Source organism: Homo sapiens, chromosome 8, assembly GCF_000001405.40.
Source record: "Homo sapiens chromosome 8, GRCh38.p14 Primary Assembly".
NCBI lineage: Eukaryota > Metazoa > Chordata > Mammalia > Primates > Hominidae > Homo > Homo sapiens.
Window position 1 is genome coordinate 56,695,599 of NC_000008.11, and position 22,194 is coordinate 56,717,792.

Here is a 22,194-nt window from a genome sequence, read left to right on the forward strand (position 1 = left end):
ATTAGGGTAAGAGAACTTCTCCACTGTCTTACATTATTATGAGTCTGCCTGTAGTGTAGCCTAAGTATGTCTTCCCAGCCACTTTCTGGGGTTCTTACCTTCTAGCCAGCTCTATCTAGGAAATTTTTCCCTCATCTTGATGGAAACCTTACTTTCCTTTTCTGGCCAAGAGATTTTATTTACAATAACATCTTATTTTCCTTCCTGGGCTTAGAGAATTGGGGTCCACATTAGTCTGCTAAGGTGAAACGGTAAAACACTACAGACTGGGTAGCTTAAACATCAAGCTATTATTTCCTCCAAGTTCTACAAGTTCTAAAGACTGGAAGTCCAAGATCAAGGTTCTGGTTGATTTGATTTCTGGTAAGGGTTGTCTTCCTGGATTGCAGATGGCCAACTTCTCATAGGCACTTGGAGAGAGAAAGCTCTCTGATATCTCTTTGTATAAAGACATTAGTCTTATGGGATTAGGGCCCCACCCTTATGGCCTCATTTAACCTTAATTACCTTCTTAGAGGTACATACGGTTGCACTAAAGATTAGGGCTTCAATGTATAAATTTTAGGGGGACACAAACATTCAGTCTATAACAGTTCTTCTGGGCCATTTGTGCTTCACCTCTCTATACTCTTGCCGAGGCAGTCAATATAGGGGCCCTGACTATATGTGAGATGGAAGAGAAAGGGAAGTCAGGCATAAGTATATCAAAAATATTATCTCACCACATTTGGAGTAGCAAAAATTTAAAATAAATTTGAATATTCAATCAGGGAGAGAATTACTACATTTTAATAAACTCATACTAGAGACTATTGTGAAGGTCTTTAAAAGCATGAAGCAGATATATGTGCATTGATCTGGAACTCATAGCAACCATATAATACAACAAGAGCAAATCACAAAATACTATGTACAGTGGAATCTCATCTGTATTAAAAATTAAATCAAAATCTTTATGTTGGTGCACAGATGTACCAGCAAAGAAAAGGTATGAATGAGAGGCACAGGCTGCCACTGGTGAAGTGGTATTGGAGATGTGCAATATACACTATTAACTTCCTTCTGAATACATTACTGCCTTTTGAATTATTATAATAAGCAGGTTGTAATTCAAATGACTGAAATTTTAAAAAATAAAAAGATGAGCAAAGGACACTGCAGTCAAGGAGCGAGAATGAGAACAGTCTGAGATTGATGCTGCATGGTCATGTGGTCTGTCCCCATGGGTGGTAATAACCAGGGTGATACATCATTCTGCAGGCTGTGGGCCTTAGGTTTTCCGTTCAGAAACTGGATTTGGTTTTTCTATCCACACAGAACTGACTGACCTCTTGGGGTCAGACTACTAACCAAGTCTCTAAAACAAGAATACATATTACTAGAATAGTAATTCTAGAATACTGATTTATTGATATCCAATGGGGGAAGATGTCTTTAATTTCTGAGACACTTATTTGCATCTGGCTTCCAAAGTAGCCTCCTGCTGATATCAGGGTACTCAAAAATGATCGTGAATACTAAAAACATATTATGGGGATTATTTCAGCCAAATCAGGGAATCATCTGATGACACTTTTTAGCTTTCTAGATGGTTGGAAGATAGCCTGGAGTTTTTGATGTTGTGTTTTGATGATGTGCTCTCTCTCTCTCTCGCTTGCTCTCTCTCTCTCTCTTTCCACTCTCCCCCTCTGTCTCTCCATCCCTCCTTCTCCTCCTCCTTTTCCTTTACTCCTATTTCCTGTTTCTCTGTTCTTTCATTTCTTCCCTCCCTCCCTTCCCTGGGACCTTGTCTCCTTATCTTATTCCAGAGAGATGTTTTGTGGCTTAAGTATAGAGTTCGCCTTTGGGGTGTTCTCAAGACCCAGAGATTCTTTACCCCCTATTTAAGATCCAGGAGAATGTCATTATAGCCTTCTACATGCTGACTTTAGTAGAAATTCAAAATACCACTTTTAAGGTTTGATAGTCTGAGAAAACCCATCTTACTGTATGAAAAATCAATTCTCCAAGTTATAAAGTAAAACTTCATAGATAATGCTTTTAAAAATAGTAGAAAAATTAAGTCAGTACAGTTTGGATAGAACTATTTGAAGACAAAAGACAAAATATTGGAGAAATATTAGTTAGATAAATCAGTGGACACATGATATAAATGCATTAATATTCCAAAGAGCAGTTTCCTTTGAAAAGCCTCCTTTCCCTCTTTCCATATTGCTAGGCTTACAGGGGAAAGGCAATAATTCATTTTTTAAAAAAACTAGGGAACACAGTGGTCTCATGTGCTATGCTATTAAATCTGAGTCACTCAACTCTCCACCACAGATATTTTTCCTTGTATGTTGATGGATTTTTTTTAAAGTACCATCAATCTGAATGACAACTTTTTCTTAAACACCTGGGCTGCTCAGCAAATACAATATGAATTTAATCCTGCTAGGAATGAAAATAGAGGTGAGCAGAGGTGCCTGTTCCCCTCTGGCAAAATTTTGACTTATGAGTTCATCCATGCTTCAAAATAACATCACAGCAGTACCTTCCATGGGTGACATGGCTCCATTAATGCTAAAGTCACACCTTGACTACAAGGAGCATGCACACCACCACCCTTTGCTGGGAAGCATCCCATCTCCCAAGTTCCATCCTTTCATGGCAGCCCCTTTTCCATCTGAGCCCATTTTTAAGATGCCACTTGTTCCCATCTTTGAGTTCCTATGGGGATCTAGATTAGAAATTTTTCACTCTTGCAGTAGATAAAGTAGCCACTAGCCATGTGTATATTAAAACTAAATTATACATTTATGTCTTCTGTCACATTAGAAACAGGTGAAATGCTCAATAGCCCCAGTAGTTAGGGCTACAGTACTAGGCAGTGCAGAGAACCTTTCTTTTGCCGCAGACAGTTCTAGGGGAAAACAGAAATGGAAGATGTCTCCTGTCTCTCCTACTGCATGACGATAGCTGCCAGGTCTGGCATTTTCACAGCTGTGTCCTTAGGGTCTAGCTCAGTGATTTTCACGTGACACATGCATAAGTCACTAAATGAATAAATGCATGAAATGAATAAAATGATCAAACGAATGAATGAATGGATATTGCCATTAATAATGGTTTTTCTTGGTCTTCCTGAAGTTTTTCATGAATTAATTCTTATTTGACCCCCATGTCTCAGCTTAAGTTATACTTCTTCAGGGAACCCCGCCCTGTCTGATCCTCCACACTGGGCTAGGTCCTTTTCCCAACATCAGTCTTATACTCTTATGGTGATACTGCCAATACTTTCGTTAACTGCCTGCCTGGCTTTTGGTTTCTCCTCCTAAATTAACAAAATTTATTGAGAGTAGGACCTTTCACTTATTTTTTTTTTAAATCCATAACACAAGCACAGTGCCTGGGATGTTAACTGAAAAACTGAAGGACTCTTTTTGCCCTTTAACATTCACTTATAGGCTACTTAGATTGAAATCTAAAAGTGCTTGACTGCCTTTAGAGCTTTTCCTATAAATACTCCCCAAGTAGATTCATATGGTTAAAGAAAAACAAAAATATGTGCATAAAACCCACTACAACCTCAGGCTGTACCTTGGCTCTCTTCAGCACACTAAGGCAACAGAACTCAATCTGCACAAAACGATGAATAGGAAGCAGTTACGGGCCATTTCCTCCCAACCTCAGTGGAAACTTCAGTTGCCTTTACTTCCTGTCATGTGCTCTCCATCCCCCAGTGTCCCATACCTACTCTGTGGCTATTTAAAAACAAAGCCAGTAAGTGAAAATACAAAAACATAGTCCGATAAGGTACTGAGTATCATCCAGGCTTATAAAGGTTATTTCCTGAATTAGTTTTCTGAGAAAAAATAAACTTACGGAAGCAATTTGCATAAAACTTTAATAGACAGTCACATTAAATCAGTGTTCTTCAAATGATAGCATAAATAGAAATCACCTGCAGCATTTGTGGAACTTCAGGTGCTTGGGTTCCTCAGTAGATGGGGCAGGGATAGGGCTGGGCATTTGAGCATCTGTCAATCAAGCTCCTGGGTGACATTAACGTAGCCTGCACATGCACTGCAAAACCTCGCTGAAACTAGGATTGATTTTCCTCCATCTTCTGTTTTACAAAAGAAAATAATTTTCACTTTATTTTTCTTATTTCATGGTTCAGTAATTATGTGCAAGAACAATTCAGATATTTAAATCACATCATATTGCCTAAAATTTTGTAGATTTCAAATTTTGACCAGGCCAGTGACTCTTTGCTGTCTGAAAGCTCTCATTTTTAATTTTTTTCTGTAATATAGCTGCACATCAAGCCTACAGTGTTATAATAGCTTAAATTTGTAATCCGTAGGCTCTTAAATAAAGTTTATCAATGTCTACTTAGTACACCATTTCATATATCAGCTGCAAAAACATCTTCAGTATTATTATTCTGTGCCAAGTCTGTAATGAATAAACAGCACTGCAAACACTTCAAACCTGTTTATTCACTTTGGAGAGCTTTTCTTTGGTTCAAGTCTCAGAGGATTTTGGCTTTGACTTTTATGAGAAAGGCCTGTATATTCCTATGTCTCTTCCATTTCCCTGAAATTTTTCGGTTTACATTGTTCACTCTGTCTTTTAGATTGCAGCAAAAAGTCAAAAAATTGACAGAATGTCCAAAAAGAGAATCTGTGGGTGGCTGTTATCCGCAGTGACTGAGTGAGAAAATTGCCTGGGTCCTGGATCAATGAGGGGCATTTGAGAGAATGCATCAAGGGGAAGACCTTGGGTACACAGTCCCCAGGAGGCAGCTAATGTGTCACGTCCTAAAATCTAATTCATGAGAAATTATTTTTATTTCAAATGAGAAGATCAATGCATAGGGAAGAAAATGTCACATTCAGTTTATTACTTTCTCTAAAATAATAGTGTAACCTGAATCTCCATTGCTATACAGTGTAAAAGAGAAAAAAAAGAATAAATGAAATCCAACTGTGTTAGCTTCACCCATTCTAAACAAAATAAAACTGCAGTTTTAGGAACCATTTCAAGTTATTTGAAAACTTTCATTTCCTAAGTCTATGCAGTTTAAATGCAGAGAACTGCATTTGAGCTCAACGTACCTTTGAGGGAAAGAAAAACATGAATATCAAATAACACTATACAGAAAGCATTTCAAGGCAATCTCTTTGATGTAGCTGAAATATCCCAGCCTCAGTGGCCCCACTATTCTTCTAATGCAACAAGACATCAGGAATTTAATTAAAATTTAAAGATTTATAAGATCCATTCCTCTCTTGGGTAATATACACAAAGACACCATATAGGGTTTTTCTTCCTCTCTCCACTTGATTTCTACTGTGAGTTGCTTTAGTTGGGAAGTCTTTCTCTAACAAAGAAAACACTACTAGGCTGCCAGCTATCAATTCTATATCATTAACCTCTGAAGGTCACTTTTTGTAATACATGTTATAAGAGAATGATTAGGACTTCTATTGTTAACTTTGACAGAGTAGCTTGTTAGGTTATCAACATATTAAACAACCTATCAACACTGTCACCAAGAGAAACGAAAAATGCTGAACAAAATATAAATAAAACAAACAAGCAAAAAATCCAGTTGTTTAAGGCACCGGAGGACAATCAAGGACACCAGGCCTTGTAGGACCAAGTCCATAAAGTGCATTGGGTGATATTTACTATACTTTTCTATTTACTGATTCCTAAGCACACAGATCATGGTGGCTGAGCAGAAAGTGGCTCAGCATTTGATAGTCTCAGTGACCTTAGAAGAAAATAATGGGAGTTTAAAGTTGTAAAGGCAGCCAGGACTTGAGGGACCAAAATTCTGTATGAAATTGGATCCTGGAGAATTAAGTCCAACATTTTACAACTGGTTTTTCCCTTGAAGCCTTCACCAGTTCCTACACTGCATGGAATGGGAGGACAAAATTAGGTAGAGAGAGCCGTGGAGGGGCAAAGCCCAAGCAGAGCTTCAGGTCATCTCATGGGAATAAGGACACAAAAGTCTGAGTTTATAGCTTGCCAAAAAGAGAATTTCTAGTAATCACTCCAGACTTTCATTAGATACCCTTGAAAGGATAAACTCTGGGAAAACCAAAATGGACAAAATCTGACAATGGACAGAATCCATCTTGAATCATCTCAATCAATGGATCAGTGCATGCTCTACAACTCCTGACTGCCTAACAGAAGACAACTCAATCCTTTCTGTAGAAAGATCATGTCATAGAGTCCCTGAAATGTTGTATAATGCCCAACACTCAAGCAAAAATTATATGTGTCAGGAAATGTCCAAAAGACCAAAACCAAGAGCAGGAAAATCTATTAGGAATAGGCCTACATGTGATCTAGATATTAAAGTTTAGGATTCAGACCTGGCAATAGCAGTGACAAATATGTTCAAAAAATAAACTATACAATGAAGACTAGCCAGAGAACTGGGATCCATAAAAAAAGTCAAATGGTAATTATTCTAGATTGGAAAATCACATTAATTGAAATTAATAAGAGATTAATTTAAGAGGAAATTTGACTCAGCAGAAAAGGTATTTGGTGAAGCAGAAGCTAGGTCAAGAGGAAATACTCAAACTAAAGGACACATAAAAAGGGAATGAAAAATAGAGAATGTAATAGACATGTAGGACATAAGTACAAATCTAAAGTGGGTGTAACTGGAGAGGAGAGAAGGACAGAGCAAAATGAGAAGAAATACTAGATAATTCTTCCAAAATGTGAAAGATTCAAACCACTGATTCAGTAAGTTCTATAAAACGGCAATGGGATGAATAAAATAAATTCACATATAGGCATATCATGGTAAATTGCTAAAGATCAAAGAGAAAAGATTAATCTTTTCTTTTGCATGCAGAGGAAAATGATAAAACCTTCCAAGGAAGAACAATAAGATCAAGGGCTGATTTTCCCACAGAATTAAAAGAAGACAAATTACAATGGAATTATATCACTAGAAGGCTAAAATAATACAACTGTCAATCATGAATTCTTTGCTTTGTCAAAAGATCCTTAAAAATAGAGATAAAGATATTTTTGATAATTAAAACAAGGAGAAAATTCATTGTCATTAAGCCTTTAAAAGAAATATTAAAGCACATTATTTAGGCAAATGAAAGATAAGGAAACAAAGATAAGCCAATTAAAAGACCAATATTTTAAAATTGGATAATAATACAAAACCCAACTATATGATGCTTGTCACATAAATATAAAAACATAGAACAGTGGAAAGTAAAAGGATGGATAAGTCTTAAAAAATAACCGAGAGAAGGCTGTTAAAACTATATTAACAGGCAAAATTGGCTTTAATGAAAGTGATAATACATTCTATAATACATTCTATAATAATAAAAGGGTCAATATATTAGAAAGACATAACATTTCATAATTGGTAGGCTTCTTATAGCATAGGCCAAAAAATATATATAATACATATATATTTTGCATATTATAATGTATACATATACACTTATAAATATACATACTTTTATATACACACATATATATCTGCTATATATATGTGTGTATATAAAAGTATGTGTGTGTGTGTGTGTGTATGTATATATATATATATGTATATATATATATATGTGTGTATATATATATATATATATATATATATATATATCTCCAGCAGAACTAAAAGGAAAAAAATCTGCAACCATAATGGAATGTTTTAACATATTCTTCCCAGTTACAAATAAAAGGAGCAAGATCCATAGAGGATTTGAACAGGTAATTAACAAACCTGACCTAAATGTATATACAGAACATTCTGCCTCATGTTTCTGAGAACCCTATATTTTGAGGCACATGTGGACCACTTATTAATAAAGGGCCATAAAACAAATTACATAGAATTTGGATTTGAGTTCTTGGCCATATTAGATGTGAATTGGAATAATAAAATGATTTCTAGGAAATCCATACATACTAATTAATTAATTCTTATTAATATTAAGGAATTTCTTTGTAAATAACTCATGGGTTCAAAAAGAAATTACAATAAAAATAAGAACATGTTTTAGACCGAATGATAATTCTAACATGATGTATAAAATCTTGTGAGATTCAAACACAACTGTGGTTAAAGAAGCAATTATAGCCTTTAATTCACATATTAAGAATGAAGACTGAAAGACAATGATATAAGTATCCATCTCAAGAAGCTAGAAAAACAACACATTATTTTTGAAACAGATAAAAGAAACAATTCCTAAAAGGTAGAAAACAATGAAATAGAAAATTCTGTGTAATAGAAAACTTCAACAAAGCTAAAGCTGTTTTTTTTAAATATGAACAAAATTGATAAATTTCTGGTGCGATTGATTAAAAGAAAAGGCCGAGGCACAAATAATTAATGTTAGAAATGAAAAAAAACAGACATTACTACAGAACCTAAAGAAATTAAAAATATAAAACAAGAAATTATGAACAGCTTTGTGCCAATAAAGTTGAACTTTCAAAAAAAATAAATAAATTGGATAAAACAAAACTTGCCAAACCTTTCCTTCATATCCTCACATGGTGGAAAGAAAGCTAGAGATCTCTCTGGGGTCTCTTTCATAAGGGCATTAATCCTATATAAATGAGGGCTCCACCCTCATGACCTATTCACCTCCTAAAGGTCCCACCTCCCAGTAGCATCGCCCTGGGGATTTCAACATACAAATTTTCGGGAGACACAACTATTCAGTCAACAACATCAAAATGAAAATAATTGAAATAGACCTGAAGAGAGTCCATTGACATAACCAACCTGGAGAACATCTAGGCACTATTTGCTAAAGCTCACATAGCAGGCATACCCTTAAACCCAGAATTCTGTTAATATTTCTTTGTAAATACCCCACCAAAACTTGTGCAGAAGAATGTTCACAGCATTATTATTTATAATAGCTTTGTCACCTCCAAACAAAGATGTTTTTTTCTGGACTATTCCAGGAATCAGAAAAGAAGACATCATCTTTCAAATGCTATTGACCAAAATCTTAGTATACTGGCTAATTAGGCTTTGAGGGGTGGAAACGGTGAAAAAGAAAAAGTAGAGGTGTTTCTTGTTTTTCTGTCCTTAAAGATGGAATATTGTTTTCCTAGAAACAAAAAGGGAAATCAGCTTGACTGGAATACAGCTTATATTCCAAGACAGTAACCACTATTAAGGAGAAAAAGCAGTTCTTTAGTTTTCAGTCATTTGGTATCTTTGTATTTCATACTCTATTGAACTTTACAGCATTAGAACTTCCATTTAAGTAATACTATGTTTCCAGCTAAGGATGCATGGTCCTTGGAAACCCTTTCAGTATGATTATAATCTTGATTACTTTAATATGAAAGTAACAAACGGCAACACATACCCTGTTAAAAATAAAAAACGATGGGCTGGGCGCAGTGGCTAACGCCTGTAATCCCAGTACTTTGGGAGGCCGAAGCGGGGGAATCACGAGGTCAGGAGATTGAGACCATCCTGGCTAGCACACGGGGAAACCCCGTCTCTACTAAAAATACAAAAAAATTAGCTGGACGTGGTGGTGGGCGCCTGTAGTTCCAGCTACTTGGGAGGCTGAGGCAGGAGAATGGCGTGAACCCAGGAGGCGGAGCTTGCAGTGAGCCGAGATTGTGCCACTGCACTCCAGCCTGGGCGACAGAGCAAGACTCCGTCTCAAAATAAATAAATAAATAAAAATAAAAAAGTAAAAAATAAAAAATATAAGTTACAATGGCATGAACATTTCTATACATGTTTCTTGGTGTAAGTATGGACAAATTTTTAGTTGGTATGTATCTAAGAGACAAGAATTGTTAGATAATAGGTTATATTCATGTTCAAATTTTGAAGTGGCACTATGCATTTCCAAAGATGTACCAATTTATGCTCCTATCAGTAGGGAATTAGAGTTCCTTTTGTTCCATGTCTTTGCTATTCCTTGGTCTTGTCAGAGTTTTTAACTTTAGCTGCTCTGATGAGTTTACGAAGGTATCACATAGGGGTTTTCATTAGCATTTCTCTGATGACTAATGAGGTTGAGCATCTCTTCATATGTTTATTGGCCATTTTGATATTCTCTTTTGTGAAATGTTTGCTCAAGTCTCTGGCTCATTTTTTCTTTTAGGCTCTGGTCCTTTTCTTATTTAGTTGTCATTATAAATATATTTTGGATATTAACTCTTTATTGGTTGTATGTATTACAAATAACTCCTCTAAGTTTTTAAGTTTTCCACCTCTGTCTGAGAAAGACATTTTTAATAACCAATGTTTTTAATTTTAATGCAGCCCAATATGTATAAAGAAATAGTTTCCCATTGCAAGTCATGAAGATGTTTTTCTAAATTGTATTATAGAAGCTTTGTTGCTGTTACACATTTGTATCAATAATCCATCTAAGATTGATATTTTTATTATGGTTTAAAGGAGAGTAAATTTTCATTTTTTTCCATATGGCTATCTAACTGACTCATCATTGAATGAAAATGCCATTCTTTCTTCATTATTCTTTGTGTGTCAAGGTCAAGTGTCCGTGTGTGAGTGAATCTGTTTCTAGGTTTTCTACTCCATTCCACTGATCTGTCTTTCTGTCCTTGCACCAGTATGGCCAGTCACAGTTACTGCAGCCTCATAATATATTTTGGAATGCGATAGAGCACATTCTCCTACTTTGTTCCTCTTAGTGGAGTTTATCTTGTCTATATTTGTCCCTTCTCCACATATATTTCACAGCTAACATCTCAGTTTTCAAAAAATATCTGCTGGGATTGATTGTAATTGCTTTAAATCTATGGGGGTCAATTTGGGGAGAATTAAAATTCCTTAAAATACTGACTCTTCCAAATTATAGATATAGTACAACCACTTTTTCATAAATTTTATTAGAGTTTTCTTTGTAGAAATTGGGTATATCTCCCAGCACTTTGGGAGGCCGAGGCGGGCGGATCACGAGGTCAGGAGATCGAGACCATCCTGGCTAACACAGAGAAACTCCGTCTCTACTAAAAATACAAAAAATTAGCCTGGCATGGTGGCGGGCGCCTATAGTTCCAGCTTCTAGGGAGACTGAGGCAGAAGAATGGCGTGAGCCTGGGAGGCGGAGCTTGCAGTGAGCCGAGATCGTGCCACTGCACTCTAGCCTGGGCAACAGAGGGAGACTCCGCCTCAAAAAAAAGAAAAAAAAAAAAAAAGAAATTGAAATTGGGTATATCTTTTATTAGATTTATTCCTATATATTGTTTTTTAGTACTATTGTAAATAGTATGTTTTAAGGTATTTTCTTTTCTAATTATTTGCTGCAGATAGATGGAAATACATCAATTTTATATACTGATCAGTGTCCAGCAAACTTGCTAAACTTATTCATTAATTTTGGAATTTATCTAAAAACTATTTTGGACTTTATACATACAAAATTATATCATCTGTAAATAATGACAATTTTTCTTCCTTTCCAGTCCTTACATTTTAGATATTTCTGTTTGTTGACATACTGCAATGGTATCTAGAGTAAAATGTTAAATAGAAGTAGTGATAGCAGGCATTCTTATTTGAACATTTCACTATTCAGTGTCAAGTAACATTTTTGTATATTGTTTTTATTATCAGTTACCTACTAAAAACTCTTATTAATAATTTTTATTATGAATCGGTGTTGAACTTTATCAGATGTTTTCTGCAATGATTGAAATGCTTGTATGATTTTTCTTTATTCTCTTAAGATGATAAATTTGTATTTATTGAGTTTTCAAATGTTAACCTTCCATGCTTGTCATGCTAAGCTTGATCATGATGTATTATTTTTAATTTTTTGATTGTTTAATAATATTTATTTAATTATTTTTCATCTTTGTTCATGAATAAGATTGTGTTACAGCAGGTAGCTAGTCAGGTATGAGCAGGCGGGAGAGGGCTCCCCACAACTCACACGCCAGGAGTGTTGGACACCCATTAGGTGATGGTCAGGCGGTTGTTAACTGTTTCTCTAAAGTGTAATTGGTCACAGCTGGCAAACCAGGACAAGGCAAGCTCCTAATAGATAGAAAACACCTGAAACTGACCAGCAGCTTCCCATTAAGTCCCCAGAAGTATGCCAACATATAAAAACCTGAAGTCAAGAGGTCAGGCTGTGCACTTGGTTACTCCAGTCGCCCGCTAGCTTTGCCCTCTTACAAGTCGTACTTTCCTTCTTTTCTTTCCTTTCCTTCCTTTCCTTGCTGTTCTAAAGCTTTTTAATAAACTTTCACTCCTGGTCTGAAACTTGCCTTGGTGTCTTCTCCTTTATTCCCTTCAGTCAAATTCTTTCTTCTGAGGAGGCAAAGACTGAAGTTGCTGCAAACCCATATGAATACACCTCCAGTAACTTGGGATAACTTGGATCTCTGCCACTGCTAACAATTGGTCTATACTTTTTCTTTGTTGTAATGTTCTTGTAAGGATTTGAACACATAAAATGTGTTCAGGATTATTGTCCCTTTTAAAATATTAAGTAGATGATTGTGTAAGATTGGCTACAAATTCTTTCATAACTGTGAGAATAATTCACCTGTGTAGTGACTTCATCCAGGACTTTTCTTTGTGCAAAATTTTAAATTATAGATTATTTTTCTTTAGGAAAATTTAGGTATACTGTTCCTTCTTGTTTAGTTTTAGTAAATTGTCCTTTTATATGAAGAATCCATTTTATATAAAATTTCAAAAACATGTGAATAAATTTGTTCATAATACCCCCTTCTTATCTTTTGTAAGACCTGTACTTACGTCTCCTTTCTCATCACTGATATTTAATGTTCATGGCCTCTCCTTTTTTTTCAATGATTATGCTTGCTAGGGGTTTATTAATTGTATTCTTTTTAAATAATCTTTTTTGGACTTTTTTAATCCTTTCTATTTTGTTTGCTTTTTTATTATATTAATTTCTAGCTTTTTCTTTATTATTTAGTTTATTCTCATTCCTTTGGCTTTGTTATTTTCTAACGTCTTAATTTAGGTCATTGATCTTCAATCTTCTTTTCTAGTATACGTATTTAAGGGAATAAATTTCTCTCAAAGTATTTCCCATTTTTCAGGTGTTATTTATTTTTATTTTTTTTGAGATGAAGTCTTGCTCTTGTCCCCCAGGCTGGAGTGCAATGCATGATCTCAGCTAACTACAACCTCCGCCTCCTGGATTCAAGCGATTCTCTTGCCTCAGCCTCCCAAGTAGCTGGGATTACAGGTGCCTGCCACCATGCCCAGCTAATTTTTGTATTTTTAGTAGAGACGGGATTTCACCATGTTGGCCAGGCCGGTCTCAAACTCCTGACCTCAGGTGATCTACCCGCCTCGGCCTCCCAAAGTGCTGGTATTACAGGCGTGAGCCACCGCACCCGGTCTTAGATGTTATATTTTTATCATCATTCAGCTTAAGATACTTCATTATAAACTATTGTTTTCCTTTCTTCTTCGATCCATGGGATACTTTGAAGTGTATTGCTTAATTTCAAACATACTGATTTTCTAGGTCTCATTTTGTTATTGACTTTTTGCTAAATTGTACTGTGGTCAGAAAACATATATTTTGCATGGCTTTATTCAATTGAAATTTGTTGATGTTTCCTTTATGGGCCAGCATATGGTAACTTTTTAAATGAGAGAGCTTGTAAATAATGTGTATTCTGCAATTCTTTGTTGTATAATTCTACATATACAAATTTCTTATTTGTGCATTTTAAATCTTCTATATCCTTACATTTTTTTGGGTGTGTGTTTATGTTGGTAGTGAGAAACATATTGAAATATCCCACTATAATTTTCTTAGAATTTTTTAGTTTATTCATGTACTCATTCATTCAACAAAGAATTATTCTGGGCCTGTCAAATTTTAGAAAATATAGCCTATGAATTGCGTTGAGGAAGTTTTTAGTAATTAAGGAAAGTAGTTAGACTTTTATAAATTTTAAGGCAATGTTATTAGTTGCATAAAAATGTAGGATTATTATATCTTCCTATTGAGATAATAATGCTTTTCCTTTTATTTTAATAAAGTGTTTAACATCTTTTTTGAATATTTCATGGTTTATAGTCTACTTTGTCTGATATTAATATAGTTACATAATCTTCCTTTGGCTAGTGTTTGCATTCTATGTATTATTTTTTCATTCTTTTAACCTTTTCCTGTGAGGATTCCAAACATGCTCATTTTTGGAATCATCTTGGATCTGCAATGTGGATTCATATGAAAAATAATAACAATTTTATAGTACTTAATATGTTAGGCCCTAGCACATACATATTAATTCACTTAATCTGTGCAATCACCCTATGAAAGCAATGATTATATATTCATTTATTTAATTCATATATTAATTCACTTAATCTGCATGATGACTCTACAAAATCAAATTATTATTATTATTCTCATGGTTTTACAAATGGAGAAACTGATGCTCAAAGAGAAAAAAAAAATAACTTGCTCAAAATTATAGAGCTGATGAGAGGCAGAGACAGTTTGGAAATAGCAATCTAGCTTTGGAGTCTGTTCTTTTACTTACTATCCTGTGTTACCACTTAAAAAAATTGAGAGCCCAAAAATGTAATAGAGGGATTTATGATTCATGGACCTGCCACCAGTACAATCACTTAGGCCCCATGCCCAGAAGGGGGCCCTGTGCTTGGGGTTTAATGGGTTTAATGCCTTGCAGTGACCATCTTGAAATCCTGCATAATTTTATCTTTGGATCTGTGCTTTGTGAGTGAAGATGGATGGGATAATGGAGCACACCCTGAAGTCTTGGAACCTCCTTTCCTCCCTTGGATGGGCTCTCAGCCATCCTCTCCCCTGACTCCATGTAGCAATCACTGTGGCCTCTCCAGCAGGTTGGGGACTCGACATGGGGAAGGTGGGATCTGGCCTTGTGCTCCGAGTCATGGGATGGGCCCAGCACCTGTGGGGGTCTATACACACCCTGTGAGTAACCCTTGCTCAAGCAGCATATTAAATCACAAACAGAAAACACTATGAATAGGAAATATAAAACAGGTGAAGAGAGACCACGAAAGAAAAGTTTCTGTCCCCTTCTTTCCTGCTTTCTGGAAAAGGGCCTCACATTTACATTTTTCACTGGGCTTGTAAATTATGTATAATTATGTAAATTATCTAGACCTGGTAGATGCTAGTTGGTGCATTGTTTGCTGAGACCACACTTTCATTTTCTTTATCTTTTATATCTTAAACATCTTTTAGGTACATTTTTCTATCTAGTATTCAAAACACACAACCTTTCCATAGCACTTACATACAATTACACTTTGCTGTGGATTTTTAGTTTACTGAGCATGACTACATGCATTGATCCACTGCTCCTCCTGAGTCCCCAGGTGACAGGGAAATATTGTCATCCCTGCTTTGCCGAGGAATAAGTGGGTTATGTGAGGTTTCACACTGAATAAGTGGCTGAACTGGGGCTTGAATATTGGTGTTCTAACTACAAAATAGTTTTCTTCCCACTAAATCACAACTTGCTTTTAAGAAGGCATCTTTTTTGGATCTCAAAGAGGGCAATTTCACATCCAGTATTGGCTATGGAATTCCTATATTGCATCTTTAGAATAGCTACTTATTAAGCATAAGCTTCTACTAATATGTTTTATTCACATGGCCCTTTGGTGCCAGTTTTACAATGTTTTCAGCCACAAGCAAAGAAACAAGTAGCTGAAAGCAGGCAATTAGGATTGTACTGAGAGTTTTGGAAGTGGGTGGAATGTCCTTAAAATCCAAACATCTGGTTGTTATACTTGGTGAGCAATAAATGATTAAAGTGTTGCTGACACCAGTTAGCAGAAATGTATTCCAAAGCTTTGGTTTATGTGAGTTTTGTTTTTAAAAGGGCCAATGATAAAAATATAATCATCCCAAATGTGACTAACGCACATGATTTGCCTCCCCCTTTTCAATTCATCCTGTTTAGTATTCTATAAAGTATATTAAAATGATTGGTGAAATGATGTTCATGATGAATGCTATGTCTACAACCCCTCTAAAGCAAAAATGCTCCTGAATTTACAATGGTATTATGTCCAGATAAAACCATAGTAAGTTGAAAGTTGAAAATATTGTAAGACAAAAATGCAATTAATACAGCTAACCTACCTTACACGTGCTCAGATCACTTCCCTTAGCCTATGGTTGGGCAAGGTCATCTGGCAACACTGCAAGCTAGAGGCTCAATGGTTCACGCTCATGATTGCAGGGCTGACTGGTTGCTGTGGCTCTGTCCCCGCCTGGCATTGCAAGAGAATATGGTACCATGTATCACTAGCCTGGGAAGAGATCAAAATTCAAAATTTAAAGTATAATTTCTACTAAATGTGTATCACTTTTGCCCCATCATGAAGTCAAACCATCATAAGTGGATCCTAAGTTGGGGACTGTCTGTAAATCCGAGGATTCTTCCTCATGAAATCACTTTGAGATTTTCCAGATTTAACACTGAGAACACAGTGTTGAGATAACTTTTATTTTTGTGGTGCTGTCTCTTTAGTAGTTACATATACTTGGAAATTCAATTCACTTATTACCTGTAGGCACCACTGACATCGGGAGGCAAATTATAAAAAATAATAATTTCACATTAAAAACAATGCTGGCCAGTCGCAGTGACTCACACCTGTAATCCCAGCCCTTTGGGAGGCAGAGGCGGGCAGATCACCTGAGGTCAGGAATTCGAGACCAGCCTGGTGAAACCCCCTGTCTACTAAAAATACAAAAATTAGCCAGGCGTGGTGGCAGGTGCCTGTAGTCTCACCTACTCAGGAGGCTGAGGCAGGAGAATTACTTGAACCCAGGAGGTGGAGTTTGCAGTGAGTCAAGATCGCGCCACTGCACTCGAGCCTGGGCGACAAAGTGAGACCCTGTCTCAAAAAAACTAAAATAAAAACAGTGCTGAAAGCAAATAGTGGGATAGTTTGAATCCAAAATTATTCTTTCCTGAATTTACAGTTTATTTCAGAGCATAAACAAAAGCTGTTGGGTGCTGTTTATGCTGTTTCCTCATCTCATTGAGAATGATGATAGAACTGTCCTGCCTAATGGAATAACCACATAAAGTGAAACTCTCACCAAGGCTCTTGAATGTTACCTTCTTGTTAAGTAGAAAATGTTGGGACACTGGATCTAAACAAAACAATACAAAACATGTTCAGTTGACCCAAAAAGGAGAGTGGAAAAAGGAAGTAAAGGAAGGACAAAGACAATTCCTTGAAGTATATAACAAAATGCTCAGAAGTTGAACCAACTGATCTGTGGAGCACGGAGGAAAGTTTTGAAGCTAGAATCATAAAATGTTACTGGAAATCTAGAGGTGGTAAGGTAAGACAATTTGGTTGTCTTGCAGGATTCTAGACGTTGGAATAGAAAAGACTCGCGTGGGAAAGAAGTTCAGAGACTGGCCAGTGGTCTCAGTAAGTCTGATTTTGTTTGATTGCTTATTTCTCTCTTGTTTTATTTCAGTTAAGAGATGCTAAAGTCTCTTAGGAAACAGAATTGGTGTGGAATCAAGGTAAGTCTATTGTTAGGTTAAAGTAAACTCAGTTGATAGCAGAAGAGTCCTTTGGATAATTCATTTAATGCCTTCCTCTGGATCAAGAGTTTCTATGGCCAATAGCTGTGTATTGAAATAAAGAACAGCACTCCACCCTTCTTGCTCCCCCCACAGACACACACTGTGTGTACTTTTATTAAAGCTTATGAACATGAATTTACAGAAAATCTTACAGGGAAAGTGAATGTGAGTGAAAAGCTCTCAAGTTGCTCAACTTCCAGCCTTGCTCAGGATGCCTGCAGAGGCCTTGTTATATGTCAGGTCTGCTCGAGGCCCCAGCTCTACCGGATGTCAGCTGGTCCTCCACGCAGGCTGCCCTCCTCGACCAGGCCTCCGATAGGTGCTCTCCTGCCGGCCCATCCACGGATCGAAGCTCAGAGCTGCTCCCACCCGCACATCCCCAGGCCTGGCTTGCCTCTTCTGATCCTATGAGACGTTCTGTTCATGCCTAGAAAGCATATCTTCAATAGAGAGAAAGGGGTTTTCTTTCACTTCCTTCCTTTTGTAAATAAACTGCCTTTTGATTGTAACACATAGGTGAATTTACTCAGGTGGACAACAATGTCACTTTATTCCTCCAGCAGATTTCATATTGCTCTCAAGGCCCTGCAGTGGCGACAGTGGGGAGGATTTAAGATTGCCAGTTCCCGGTAAGCCAGTTTCTCCCAGTTGAAAGCACTCTCTTCAAATCAAAGTTTGACTCCCTGTCAGGATGATCTTGTTTCCCCCAGACAGCTTTCCTGCCCCTCCTCCTTCCCAGGGAAGGACCTGGGTACAGGGAGCTGTAGGGGAGGGATCCGTGGTGCCATGCTTTCTGGAAACTTGCTGTCCTCTGCAGCGTCCTGCAGGTCACTGGGTGCCCTGCACTGGTGCAGCTGAGGGTGCTGGCATCACTTCAAGTTTAGGCCACCCTCCTGTTCTTGGCGGTGGCTGCCCATGCCTCCATCCACAGGGTCCTCAGACTCATGCTGCTTTGGGCCACTGGTTTGCTCAGGGGACATTTTCTCTGGCCAATATACCCAGATATGTCCTCCTGCCAAGGGAGAGGCTACTCTGAATGACAGCCCACCTTCCCAGGCTGCACTGGGGAAGGAGGAAGTGGATCTCCATGTTCTCATAGGCTGGGTAATCCATCTGGGTTTTGCTCTTTGTCCTCCTCCTCACAGAAGATTTTGTCCTGAGAGGTAATCAGGGCTGGCCGTCTGCATCCCTCTCTGCCCCGATCCCTCCAGTCTTCACTTCTGAGGGGACCTGCCTCTCTCTCTCAGCCCCCTTCCTCCCTCACTGTCCTTCCCCACTTGGGGCAATAAAGACAGAAGGGATGATTCAGGAACAGAAAAAGATGACTAAGATGGGGAAAATACTAACATAGAGATGTTTCAAAAATATATTTCTTACTTGTTCTATTTATTTTTATTCTCCACTTATTGAATCAAGGGTGTTCTGCAGCCTCGGTTTGAGAAATAGCTGGTGGAGCCTCTCTCTCTTTCTCACCTCCACCGTCTTCCTGCCCAGTTTGCCCTGTGATCTTCCCCTGTATACAAGCCCTGATCATGGTTAACTGCCTTCTGAAAGGACAAACTCAAAGAATCCAGCCAAATCCTCAAGGATCACGGTGTTATCAACAGTCATCTGAGTTGAGAATATATACAATTATATACAGAATGTATTCTTTAATCTTCTTCTAACAAAGTTACATATAAAAGTGGGGTTATTTTTAAGGTCCTTCATAAAAAGAAGAGAATGCTTCCAATTATGCCTAATTAAGCCCATACACGATTTTTTTTTCTTCCTGATTCACTAGGCCTTAGAAGCAGGAACTCCAGTACCTAAGGGAAGGATGCTGCAGCCGCGTGTCTGTGGATACTGAAGGAGCAATGACTTGATGGAGAGTCAGCTGAAGATTTTATTCAACAAGAAAAATGTTCTGTAGAGAAAGTACGAATGGATCATGTGAATAAGTAGGGAAAACACTGTTTAAAAGTTCAAGAGAACAGAATATTTTAAAATTGTATCTTAGAATCTGCCACTCATGTACACATCTCAGATGTGCCAGTTTCTCTCCATCTTGCTCTAGTCTACAACAGTTAATGAGGAGCAGCATGTTTGAGGCCACATTGAGGACATATGCTGTGGAAAGTTGTGCCTTGGCCTTAGAGCCACAGAATTCTCAGTGCTAATCCCCGCTCACCACTTAATAGCTGTGTGAGCTTTGGTAAATCAAGGGATTTCAAATCACTTGATTTCTCTGTGCCCCAATTCCTTCTTCACCCTCTGGGGATCTAGTAAAGACTGAGTTAGCACACAGAGAATATCTAGCTACTTCATTATATGGCAGCATATGGTACCTATAGATACTCAATAAATATTAGTTCCTTCCTCATCTTTCCCTCCTTTCAGTTGCTTCATTTACGTAAAAATAATACATCTTCTTATATTTAAAAAGAAATAGTTCAAGACCAGCCTGGGCAACATAGTGAGACCCTGTCTCTACAAAGTAAAAAATTGGCTGGGTATGGTGGTGTCCAGCTGTCCCAGCTACTCAGGAGGCTGAGGTGAGAGGATCTTATGAGCCCAGGAGTTCGAGACTAGAGTGAGCTATAATTGCGCCACTGCACTCCAGCCTGGGCAACAAAGCAAGAACTCACCAATAAAATAAAATAAAATTTAAAATAAAATAAAATAAAATAATTTTAGGCTTTCCATTGATTTAGATTGGCCTTCCTCAAATCAAGACTGATCGCTGTTTGTCTAGTTAATAAGACTAGTTCTATTCTGAGACAGGGATGAGAAATTTGCTTTTAGCTTTGAACTCTGCTTCCAGAACTGCAACTCCAACATCAGGTCACTTACAGAATAAGCCCCTTGCTGATGTGAGAGGTGCTTTTCTATGTATGTATTCTGGAAACAATGGAACCTGTAGTATTTGGAGATATCACAAAGAACTTATGGCAGAGGTGGCTACTGTCTACCAAAGATTCATATTTTCCTTCTACCATGCAGAATGAGGTGGTTCCCAGCCAGACCGGCACTTCACAGAAGTTCTTCCCACTTCTGTCTAGTGGCCCAGAGGGGCTGGGCCACTTGTCTTCAATGGCAGTGTCAGAGCAGAGTGCTCTCCGTCCCTGCAGGTGGATGTTGTGGCAAATCAAGGCGGCCTCTTCACACTTTTTTTCTTTTCTTGTCCAACATTGGATGTTGATGGTCAGAGTGACTTTGGAAACCATTTCTTGAAGACGGCAGAGTTTCCATGATACCTAAAGGTAAATAGGTTCCCTCTAGCAACCCACTGAGATTAATTAGCACCCTCTGTAATTCCAGTCCCCAGCCCCACCCCTGCTGCTCCCTGAAGGCAAGAACCAACCTTTATAGGGAGACCAATGGATGGGGAGTAGAGTCTGGTTCCAGGGAAACTGAGCTTGGGCAGCTGCTATGAGTCAAATGGTGGGGGTTGAAGAGTGCTGGACCAAGGGTGGACTCCTCTACCCGCTCACTTTATTGTAAAGCAGTTAGTTTGTTAAAAAAAAAAAATTGACCTTGCAGTCTTCTTACATTGGTTTTAGGAGCTTGGGTAATGTGACTCTGTCCTGAGAGATGATCATTTTCCCATTTCTGAGTCCTCTGGTGGAGAGCCACACCTAGACAGGGGTAATTTCCCCAGGACGGGATGTTATATGTTACTTGAGAATCAGGATTTAGAGTGAGGACTGTGAAAATTGTGCAGTTGTTTGTATAAAACTTCAGGTTGAAGAATCACTCAGCAAAACTAAACAACAACAACAATAAACAAAAATGAATTAAAAGAAAGTCTGTTAGATGATATCTTGGTATTCAAGCCATCATCCCCTTAAAATAACTATCAACTCCTAAGTAGTAAATGGGAGATGAGTGGAAAATTCTAAAATGCCCTGTTTGCCAGCAGATTGTTTTCCATTCTTTTGTAATATTTGGCATCTATAAACCTTAGTTCATGTTGGGCAATGTGCTTTTTCAGAAGATTAAGAAGATGGCCAAGTTGCACCTAAAAGGCATCCTGTAGGATAAATCTCCACATCATGCACCTCCACTGCAATGAAGCCTCACAGTTGCTTTTGAAAAGTATGAGTTTCTACAGTGAGCAAACAAAATAATGCATAGTTCAAAGCACTTTGTAAACTATGAAGGATTATACAAATGTCAGGTATTATTATTACAGAGCAATTTTGTCTTTTTCTTTGAAATGTTTTTTAAATCCCTGATAATGTAAAGATGTGGGTCCATCATGTCATAATGTAAGAACTCTGTTCATTTCTCTGTAACTTAATTTTGTAAATTTTCTTTCTTTTTGAATACCCCAAACTGCCCCCTCCCCTAAATACACACACACACACACACACACACACACACACACAGCCCAAAGGGCTACTAAATACTAAAAATTTAAAAAGTAATTCTGCTACTAAATACTAAAAATCAAAAATGATTATATTAAAACAACCTAACATTGCATAGCTACCAAATCCTTCCCGTGTTGAGTAAGGAAAGGGGATGCATTTGTATTTTTCACAGTACCTATGATGGTTTGCTATGTAGTATCATGTGCAGCACAGTCACTCAAGTCAACACTGGAGA

General features: G+C 37.4%; 1 long non-coding RNA gene across 2 annotated transcripts in view; it reads left to right on the top strand.

The window, feature by feature from the left end:
• The window catches only part of LOC105375852 (uncharacterized), a 32,348-nt gene extending 12,433 nt beyond the window's left edge, over nt 1-19,915 (top strand). Inside the window, exons 2-4 of one of the 2 annotated variants that reach the window (XR_928915.2) lie at nt 17,377-17,443; nt 18,165-18,233; nt 19,388-19,915. This is a non-coding gene — a long non-coding RNA (uncharacterized LOC105375852). The remainder of the gene's footprint in view (nt 1-17,376; nt 17,444-18,164; nt 18,234-19,387) is intronic. The other variant, XR_928916.2, reaches the window with a different exon arrangement.
• The last annotated feature ends 2,279 nt before the right edge of the window (nt 19,916-22,194 follow it).